A 9,902-nucleotide genomic window follows, 5' to 3' on the forward strand; every position below is an offset into this window, starting at 1 on the left:
TACCAAGACACGGAATCAGAAAAGCCCAAAGAGAAAAACCAATATATAAATGAATTTCTTTGCCACCGATAGCAAAGGCTCATTTTTCAACAATACCTATTTATTGCTTCCTGCTTTAAGTATTTTGTGCAAGAGCACAACACTTATAAAGGTTTACAAAAGAATTACCGGGTCTAGAAATTCCAGGCAACCTGGTCCAAACGTGTGAAACCTGCATGTTAAAATCTTAGGATTTTGTCCAATTCAGAGTTGACAAATGAACTCTTTCCAGAAAGTTATTATTCGAAAAAAACCTACAGGATGTTAACTTTAAACACAGATTATAATTCCTGTAACTAAAACGAGTAACTGGTATCGAACAAATTCTAGGTCACTTGTAGAATCGAATCTTGTAGTGAAGGTCTGTGTGTTTTTCCAGGAAAAGTCGGGGTGGGGAGCGGGATTTGCCCTCCCTGCGAATTTTTTTTTTTTTTTTTTTTTTTTTTTTTTTGCTCTTATCCTGAAAGACCTCCGTTTCTTACGTGTGAATAAACTTAAGTCGTACTAAATCCAGGTCACGGTTCCCTTCCTCAAAAGTGAAGTCAAGGCTTCTCTCTTCTAAAGACTATTAAGGTTTGAGGATTCAGGGCCCGTTTCGCTTCCGGCTAGGGAAGGAAGCGTGCTTCCCGGGGCCCAAATGAACATGGAAATTTACTAAGTAGGAAGTTGAGCACTAGTCCAGCCGCCAGGCCCTGCCTTTACTGCAGTTGGCCTTCCAGTCTAGACCCCGACCTCCTGGGGCAGGGAAAGCAGGCAGACTGCAAGCAGCCACCCCGCCCAGCTCGCCCTGCCCGCCCTGCCCGCCAGGGAGCTGAAGGGTCCACCCCTCCCGCCATCCACCCCCGACGCCGACTCCGAGGCGCACAAACGGGGGGCGGTGCGGCAACCCGTCCGCCGTGGCGGCGGCACCCTCAGGCCCTCCCGTGAGAAGGCGGCGGCGGCTGCGGCTGCAGCAGCGGCGCGAAGGGGGGCGAAACCTGTCCTGAGGCTGAGTGGGAGGCCGGGGCGGGAACGACTGCATGTGGGGCTGCACTGGAGGAAGGCGGAGGCGTTCAGAGGGCTTGGGCTTTTTTACGATCATCATCATTATTTTATTTTACCTGTGGCGCAGAAGGGCTCCCCAGCTCCTATTCCCTGAATCCTCCTCCTCCTCCCCTCCTCTTTCTCTCTCTCTCCCTCAGTCTGCAGGGCGCTCGCGGAAGCGGCCGGGCCCGGCCCGACCTGAAAGAGAACAGGGCGGGAGGGGGTGGCGGCGGTGACCAGCGGCCACGTGACCACGCTCGCGCCGTAACGGCGGCCGCCTCCCGCCGCGCGCCCTCCCCGCGCTCCACCTCTAATAACCTCGCGGCCCGCGCGCCTGGGAAGCTCGTGCGCAGGCGCCCGCACGGGACCTGAAGTCTGCGCGCGAGCGCAACGCGCTCGCTCTCGGGTCCGGGTTTCTGGGGCCCGCGAGGCGCGAGAAGCGAGTAGGTGGGGAGTGAGCCGCGGGCAGAGCTCTCCTTGGCTGAGCCGGCAGGCTGCTGAGCGCATGCGCCTGAGGGCTTTTACCCCTCCCTTCTCTCCCTGCTTCCAACCGGCGCGCGGCTGGAGGCTGGGAACCAGCTCCTGGGTCTTAGTCAGAGGTTCACATCCACCAACTATCTTCCCAGGGTTGGACTGAGAAGGGGAGCAGAGGGTCCCAGGGACTCTCCTGAGATCCTGGCTCTCCTGCCAAGGAATTTACATTTCCTTGTCACAGGTAAATGGCCTTCCATGCCACATTTTTCTGTGGCTGAGTAGGCTTCTAACTCAGCTCATCTGTCACTTTCTCCGTGAAACTTACCCCTGCCTACTTTAGAGGAGTCACTAGCACTTTGTGCAGACCTACCTTGTAGTACAACCCATAGAAAGATAAAGGTTAGGAGTTATTTTTTCACAAGCCCACAATACTAGACTGTGGTTTCTATCTTTATCTCATAAACTTGGACAGGGTCTTCAGTGTTGTAGTATCTCCCTAAACGTCTGATGACTATCAGAACACAGGGAATGTCTAAAACTTTTATCGTTGCCCTTGGTCTCTGCATAATCATGATTTAAGATCCCCTTTAACCCAAGCACGTGGGAAGGTGGTGTTTGTTTCCCCAGTATGAAAGCCTTTAAATCATAATGTTAATTAGAGTGGTAAATGCTTCACTTAGTAAAAGAGATTTATGGTATTTTATTAGCTTATCTTCACAAAGAGCTCCAACGAAAATTGATACTGTTTAGTCCAGAAAAGGAAACCAAGTCAGAGAAAGGTCAGATTTCTGAAGGTTATCTAGCTTCAGAGGAAGATGCCTGTGTGGGAGACCTTTGTGGACAAACACCCCACTTCACACAGAGATCCCTCTTTTTCTGTTGCCCCTCTTTCTGTTGCAGAAACTGAACAGGTTAAGTTAGTGCCTGTGGCCAGATTTAATCCGGCCAGATTTATTTATTTATCAAATAAATAAAATGTAAAAACTCCCTAATTGGGAGTTCTGGCTAGACCAGTCATCATCACTGTTAGACTGGTGAATACTGAGATGATAGTCAAGAAATGGGGCTAGCAACAAAATGACAGAAAATCCTGGGATGAATGTATATGAAGAAATAGGATTAACAGAGGCTTCTGAGAAACTAGGAAAATGACAACCCTCAAGATTCCATTCTCAAATGTTTACAAAGCTGTTGGACTCTTTTCTGCATTTACCACTGTATACACCCACAGACTGATCCCACCTCATAGTTTCAGCTACCACACAGGTTATGCTAATGGCATCCCATTCTAAATATTCAGCCCAAGATTCAGACCTTGTGGTAGACTATTTTCTTATGGCACACAATTAACTGTGCCTCCCAGTATTCATGCCCATGTATAGTCCTCTGCCCTTGAGTCTGGGCCGGACCTGTCACCTGCCTTAAACAATCAAATATGGCAAAAATTACTCTCTGTCACTTCTAGGCCTAGGCCTTTAAAGACTTTGCAGGGCCAGGCGCGGTGGCTCACGCCTGTAATCCCAGCACTTTGGGAGGCCAAGGCGGGTGGATCACGAGGTCAGGAGATTGAGACCATCCTGGCTAACACAGTGAAACCCCGTCTCTACTAAAAATACAAAAAATTAGCCAGGCATGGTGGCACACGCCTGTAGTCCCAGCTACTCGGGAGGCTGAGGCAGGAGAATGGTGTGAACCCAGGAGGTGGAGGTTGCAGTGAGCCGAGATCGCGCCACTGCACTCCAGCCTGGGCGACAGAGTGAGACTCCGTCTCAAAAAAAAAAAAAAAAAAAAAAAAAAAAAGGCTTTGCAGTGACAACTTTGAACTTTACCAGAGACTCATGGGAAACAGAAATAGTTAAGAAATCCCACCACCTTTTTGTGTTCTGCGAAACAGTTTACCACAAAGACCAATCCTTCTCCATATTACTTAAATGAGACTCATTGTCCAGTTTCTCTGATAAAACTAGTAGATGACCTGTGACAAGACCAAACACATACCTTTCCTTTTTTCCCGAACCTGTGGGGAAGGTCAGTCACCTTTCAACTTCCTATTTGTCTCATGAATGATTAGCTAGGATTAGAACTACTTTTTCCCCCTTGAAATTAGGTAGCGATAAACATTTCATAGCTGATAATTCTCTGATTACAAAAATAATCCCAACTGTAATCATCTCATCTATAACCTGTCTATGCCTCCCTGTAAAAGTATAAGGCAGCCAGGCATAGTGGTGCACACCTGTACTCCCACCTACTCAGGAGATTGAGGTGGGAAAATTGTTTGAGCCCAGGAGTTTGAGAGCAGCCTAGACAACAGCAAAACCATGCTCTAAAATAATAATAAAAGTATAGGGCAAAACCACCCTGCTGAGACACTCTGATCTTCACATCTGGAGTACTCTCCCTAATGTAATTGCCTGAATGAAATCTATTTCCTCACCAGTTTAGTTTTTAACTTTGACAGTAGCTATCATTTTTGCCCTTTGTGGGAAGCACCATGTAAGATATCCAACTACTCTGAAACTACCACACTGTGAAGAGTCTAACCAAGCCACCTGGAGAGACCAAACGGAAGAAAACTAAGGCCCCTGGCCAACAGCCCTAGCTGTGCTCCTACTGGCCAGTCAGCACCAGCCTGCCAGGCATGTGACTGAGACAGTCTTGGAAGTGGATTTTCCAGCCCTACTCAAGCTGCCGCAGCTGACACCACATGGAACAGAGATGAGCTTTTCTCCCCAGTGCCCAAATAGCAGAATTGTGGAAAAATAAATAAAACAGTTGTATTAAGCCACTAAGTTTTGCTATAGTTTATTAGATATCATTAAATAACCAGAACAGACCTATGTATTCAGCTGCCTGCTAGAGATGTATCCCAGGTGGTCTCACAGGTACTTCAAACTCAATATACTTGAGTTGAGTTTTTCAAATAGCCTTCAAACCTGACCTGTGTCCTTTCCCCGACCGCTCCCCCTCCCCTGCCACCCGTTGGTTGTGCATTTATTCCCCTAGTTCCCGAAGCAGAAAACCTGGGCGTGTCCCTTTACTCCTTATCCTGCAATATTCAGTCACCAACTAATGAGCTTTCTTCTCCAGTCCCCACAACACTTCTCACCTCAGATCCTCATCATCTCTATCCTGAACTACTGAGGATTAATCAAGTTCTTCCACATTGCAAAGAAAAGTCACTCAGGCATCCAGACTACCTTAGGGGTTTATTATCAGGCAAGAAGTAAGGAGATGTTGGAAAACAGCCCAGTCATCTCCCATGACCTGCATTCTGATGGTTCCCAGACTGGGAAGCCCAGGTGGCATCATAAAGAGCCACAGCAATGACCCCATCCTTTAGGCTACAACAATAGCTGTAAGGATCCAGCTTCTCTCAGGCTTCTCACGTTCTTACTCCCCAAGAGACAATCTGAGGGACCCAATGGTCCTCAGTCAATACAGAGCACCCCGACAAGGCAGAGAGTGGCCTGCAATGTAATCTAGGAAAAAGAAACAAAAGTAATCAAGCTGATGATTAATAACTCCTTAAAATACAAACTTTGTATAAAAATTCATTTTCAGTTTTGTTAGTTATAATAGAATTTGAGTTTAAGGCAGAAAAATTAAATTTGAACTAACTTCAGCATTAAAAAAATAATTGTGGGGCTGGGCACGGTGGCTCACGCCTGTAATCCCGGCACTTTGGGAGGCCGAGGCGGGTGAATCATGAGGTCGGGAGATCGAGACCACCCTGGCTAACACGGTGAAACCCTGTCTCCACTAAAAATACAAAAAAATTAGCTGGGCATAGTGGCGGGCAGGCACCAAGTAGTCCCAGCTACTTGGGAGGCTGAGGCAGGAGAATGGCATGAACCCGAGAGGTGGAGCTTGCAGTGAGCTGAGATCGCGCCACTGCACTCCAGCCTGGGTGACAGAGCAAGACTCCATCTCAAAATAAATAAATAAATAAATAAATTAATTAATTAAAAATAAATTTTGACACTTGGTTTTGCAGCAGCTTGTGTGCTAGTTGATTCTCTGCTTCGACATCTATGTGCATTCTCTGTCTTGGGACATGGCGGAAAATGAAGCAGAAAATAACACGAATGTTCTTAAAGTCTCTTGGCAAGGATCAGCTCTCTCCCAGGCCTCTGGCGATATGGACACTCAGCCTGGGACTACTGTGATCAGGCCACCATCCACATCCCTTCTCCTGGCTCTTTTCTCCTCCACTCCATTCAACTCACCCAGGTAAACTGGCCATCATTAGATCCTGAAATTGCTATGGTGGCATAGACTGACATGATAATAAGATGTACAGCCTACAGTATGGGATTGTCCAGTGGGAAGTGAAAGGGTTGTGGTAAGCATGGGCTGTGCGTGGAGCTGGCGTGCTACCCTCTGCATCATCCATGGAAATGCCCGACTCAGATCTCCTGCTGCAAGAACATAGTTGACCTTCGGCCTCAGCAGCTGCCCCACTGGATCCACTACCAAGTTCATGCTGAGGCCACACTTCTCCTGGGCTACTCCCACTCGATGATTGATTGCGGCAGGGGTATTAGTGAAGGCCAAAGGAGGATTCCTCTAACAGGCAGCTTTGGCTCAAGGATTCCCCAGTGGCATGGCCAAAACTTTCTTAGAACTGTGCCACAGTCTAAAACTCTTCTTAACAACTCTTCTATCCTTTCCCCTTAGCTTTCCCAGGTTACAGACCTGCATTGTGGTCTGAAGTCTTCACCTCTGCCCACACACACAAAGTCCAGCTCCTGCTTTTTTCCCTTTATTGGTGTTCTCTCAATAAAGCTTTTGTACACCAAAAGCTTTGATGTAAATGAAAAGGAAGTCCCAGAATGGGGTTGTGTTTCAGTTCATTTTGTAAGTCCCATTGTGGTATTTGCTTCTCAGAGGACCTGAACTGAAACACAACCCCATTCTAGGACTTCCTTTTTCATCCTCAGACTATAGCTACAGGTCACAGTTATTAGTAATATCAAGACATCTAAATTCTTTTCATTCTTTTGGGTTTTGGGTTTTGAAGAACGTTTCATCTCCTAGAGCCATCTATTAAAATGCAGCTAACCCTAGGTAGAGATAACAACAAGCTAAAGCATTTCACTGTTAAGAAAATAAGAAAGGTCAGGCACAGTGGCTCACGCCTGTAATCCCAGCACTTTGGGAAGCTGAGGTGGGCGGGTTGCATGAGCTCAGGAGTCCAAGACCAGCCTGAGCAACATGGCGAAACCCTGTCTCTACAAAACACACACAAAAAACTAGCTGGGCATGGTGGCACACACCTGAAGTCCCAGCTACTTGGGAGACTGAGGTGGGAGGATCACTTGAGCCCAGCAGGTCCACGCTGCAGTGAGACCTCGTCTCAAAAAAAATTAATTAAAAAAAAAAGAAAGATTGTTTGAGTTATTTTGACTGTAAAAATGATTAATATTGTGATAAATATTGTGAGGCTAACAATAAAAGTTTTGTGGGGTAATATGGCCATTTTGATACCCCACACACCATTCTGTGTTTCTTTTTTTTTTTTGAGACGGAGTTTTGCTCTTTTTGCCCAGGCTGGAGTGCAATGGCACGATCTCGGCTCACTGCAACCTCCACCTCCCGGGTTCAAGCAGTTCTCCTGCGTCAGCCTCCCATGTAGCTGGGACCTACAGGTGCCTGCCACCACACCCAGCTAATTTTTGGTATTTTTAGTAGAGACGGGGTTTCACCATGTTGGCCAGGATGGTCTCAATCTCTTGACCTCATGATCCACCCACCTCAGCCTTCCAAACTGCTGGGATTACAGGCATGAGCCACCGCACCCGGCCATACCATTCTGTGTTTCTGGAGCAGATACTTTCAGAGTTATTTGTCTAGCTCATAACAAGAACCATCATCCCAGCACTTTGGGAAGCCGAGGCGGGCGGCTCACCTGAGGTCCGGAGTTCGAGACCAGCCTGACCAACATGGAGAAACCCCGTCTCTACTAAAAATACAAAATTAGCCAGGCCTGGTGGCGCATGCCATGCCTGTAATCCCAGCTACTCAGGAGGCTGAGGCAGGAGAATCGCTTGAACCCGAGAGGCGAAGGTTGCGGTGAGCCAAGATAGCACCATTGCACTCCAGCCTGGGCAACAAGAGTGAAACTCTGTCTCAAAAAAAAAACAAAAAACAAAAAAAAAAACCACTATCCCTCAATCAATTCTCTTCAATAACCTAAAACAAACTGAGACCAATCAGCTTCTCTTCTGAAATAATTGAGAATCGGGATTATAGGGGAACTAGTCAGTCTTTACGTGTGGCTGGACCTGTAACAACCCAACAGAGTAGACCATTTCATAAGTCAACCAGGAGAAGAGAAACCACTTCAACTATTTACAACAGTTGAAATCTAATACAGGGAATGAGTTAACAGGTGATGGAAGAGCCATTCCTGCTACCTGGAACACAGATAGAGTGGTGACTCAGTTTCCAATGTGCAGAGCAGCAAATATGCAATGGGGGAGATTTTCCAGAGATGAGCAACAGCGGGAGGGAACTCAACTACCCCTCAGCTGACAAGACACAGGAAGAGATCATGTTAATGGGGCCCCAGGGCTGAGGTCATCCTGTGGTACATACAGAGTGGTGTTATGCAGAGAGAACTACTTAGGGCATCTTTCTTCAGGACATGACTGTATGCATAGCAGAGACCTGCAAGGGGCACCTCCTCTGCTTACCCTCCCACCAACAACCACAAAGAGTAGGAGAGAGTCTGTTTCCTAAAGAAGGGTCATGGCTATTTGGCAGAGTAGGGAGAGATACTTGGCAGACAAAACAATATTTGTTCACTCCATTCCTTGTGTTAGTTACCCAGCACATATATATATCATTCTTCTCATCCATAATTTCAAAACTCTTTCACCTAATAAACTAACCTTGTAAGTAAAGAGTGTGAGGTGCTCAACCAATTGATCGGTGATATTAGGGAGTGGCTGTAAAGTCATTTTAAATCTCATCCTAGTCATAGAAAATGAAAGTGAAATTATTCTTCAGAAAGTCTGCCCTCAAAATGCTAAAACCAGAAATTGATTTGTATGTGGTGTCTGCATACCTGTGTATACCTCCTCCTCCTTTCCAAATCTATTTTTCTCTTCTTCCCTACACTTCCATACACAAGTTTCGTGCCCTACACTGCCTCTCCTTCTCTATTCTTGCTACCGGGAACACAGATATAGTAATGACTCAGGTTCCAATGTGCAGAGCCCAGCAGAGCAACCAGATTGCAGGAAACTGCAACCCTGTATTGCTTGGTAAAGTACTGCCTATCCAACCCAGACTGCCTCACTACACATTTAAATTAGAGAGAAATAAACTTCTACCTTATTTAAGCCACTGAATTTTTTCTGTCTTGCTTTAAAGCTGCATACTCTACCTAATACAATATATAAGGTATTATATACCTACACATATATATATATATATATATGTATGTATGTATGGTATTGTATTCTGTTAACTAAGTTGATAGGCAGAGAATCTCATGAAAGCCTATCTAGATCAATTTAAAAATCATAAATAAATTAATTCATTTGCCCTTAAAGGATATGATGTCAACATTTATGGATACCTGAGAAATGTCAAATGCGTTGATATTACAAGGCTCATGTTTGCACCATTATGCTTTTGATTAACACCAGTGCAACTGTGCTCAAAGTTGTAAAGATCATGGTGTAGTCAGAAACATTAGGAGGGAATATAAACTAAGAAGTTAAGTGCATAGACTCAGGAGTAGAATTGTCCAAGTTCATATCCTAGCTCCCTTACTTGTTAATGACGTAACCTAAAGTGAATTAATTAAGTTACTTAACCTCTGTGGCTCCAGTTTCATCTGTAAGATAGGGATAATAATAGTCCCTAACTTGTTAGGTTGTTGTGAGCATTAAGAGCATTAAATGAGATAATCTCCTGTTAGGTATTTAGCACAAAGTAACCATTCAATTTATATATCTATCAAAGTAACCATTCAATTTATGTATCTATATATAAAATAATTATGTATGTATAGTGCAATAATAATTATAATAAATTATTGATAAATTATTTGTTAATAATTCTTACTAATAACAATTAATAAGTATTATCTCTGAGTCTTCATCAGAAAAAGCAGTATGCAGGAAGAGCAGCTTATTCTACATATAACGATAATTATTGAAATTCAATGCTTGCACATACAAAATAGCAAACTCTGGACTTTACTTTGGATATTAAAAAGACAAAGGTATTTTTGCTATACTGCCCAAATGTCTCCAATGATATGCCCACTAGTATGCCTAAATAGCACAGCAGTAAAACTAATGTCTTAACTTTTGTTCTGAAAGCACCTTATTTCAAAACATTATCCTTCC

At 45.0% G+C, this 9,902-nt stretch overlaps 1 protein-coding gene and 1 long non-coding RNA gene across 64 annotated transcripts in view, besides 7 other annotated features; one reads left to right on the top strand and one right to left on the bottom strand.

Annotated features, from left to right (window-relative positions):
• TBC1D5 (TBC1 domain family member 5) overlaps positions 1 to 1,290 on the bottom strand; it is a 585,470-nt gene extending 584,180 nt beyond the window's left edge. For all 63 annotated transcript variants that reach the window (XM_047449296.1, XM_011534283.4, XM_047449314.1 and 60 more), the window contains exon 1: positions 1,140 to 1,290. The gene's annotated coding sequence lies outside the window, so the exon portion shown is untranslated. The remainder of the gene's footprint in view (positions 1 to 1,139) is intronic.
• Positions 777 to 976: a silencer, noted in NCBI's record as "silent region_14125". NCBI's record gives its function as "represses an Ori minimal core promoter by ATAC-STARR-seq in GM12878 lymphoblastoid cells {active_cell/tissue: GM12878}" and the evidence as "EXISTENCE:reporter gene assay evidence [ECO:0000049][PMID:35858748]".
• Positions 976 to 1,679: an enhancer, noted in NCBI's record as "H3K27ac hESC enhancer chr3:17783809-17784512 (GRCh37/hg19 assembly coordinates)". NCBI's record gives its function as "activates a minimal SCP1, AML or CMV promoter by ChIP-STARR-seq in naive H9 embryonic stem cells {active_cell/tissue: H9 hESC(naive)}" and the evidence as "EXISTENCE:reporter gene assay evidence [ECO:0000049][PMID:30033119]".
• Positions 976 to 1,706: a biological region, named in NCBI's record as "H3K27ac hESC enhancer GRCh37_chr3:17783809-17784512".
• Positions 1,207 to 1,516: a silencer, noted in NCBI's record as "silent region_14126". NCBI's record gives its function as "represses an Ori minimal core promoter by ATAC-STARR-seq in GM12878 lymphoblastoid cells {active_cell/tissue: GM12878}" and the evidence as "EXISTENCE:reporter gene assay evidence [ECO:0000049][PMID:35858748]".
• LOC105376975 (uncharacterized) lies at positions 1,603 to 4,321 on the top strand. Its single transcript, NR_135536.1, has 2 exons — positions 1,603 to 1,777; positions 4,027 to 4,321. It is a non-coding gene; the product is annotated as an uncharacterized LOC105376975 (long non-coding RNA).
• Positions 1,637 to 1,706: an enhancer, noted in NCBI's record as "active region_19572". NCBI's record gives its function as "activates an Ori minimal core promoter by ATAC-STARR-seq in GM12878 lymphoblastoid cells {active_cell/tissue: GM12878}" and the evidence as "EXISTENCE:reporter gene assay evidence [ECO:0000049][PMID:35858748]".
• Positions 5,846 to 6,015: an enhancer, noted in NCBI's record as "active region_19573". NCBI's record gives its function as "activates an Ori minimal core promoter by ATAC-STARR-seq in GM12878 lymphoblastoid cells {active_cell/tissue: GM12878}" and the evidence as "EXISTENCE:reporter gene assay evidence [ECO:0000049][PMID:35858748]".
• Positions 6,386 to 6,505: a silencer, noted in NCBI's record as "silent region_14127". NCBI's record gives its function as "represses an Ori minimal core promoter by ATAC-STARR-seq in GM12878 lymphoblastoid cells {active_cell/tissue: GM12878}" and the evidence as "EXISTENCE:reporter gene assay evidence [ECO:0000049][PMID:35858748]".

Source organism: Homo sapiens, chromosome 3, assembly GCF_000001405.40.
Source record: "Homo sapiens chromosome 3, GRCh38.p14 Primary Assembly".
NCBI classification, from domain to species: Eukaryota; Metazoa; Chordata; class Mammalia; order Primates; family Hominidae; genus Homo; species Homo sapiens.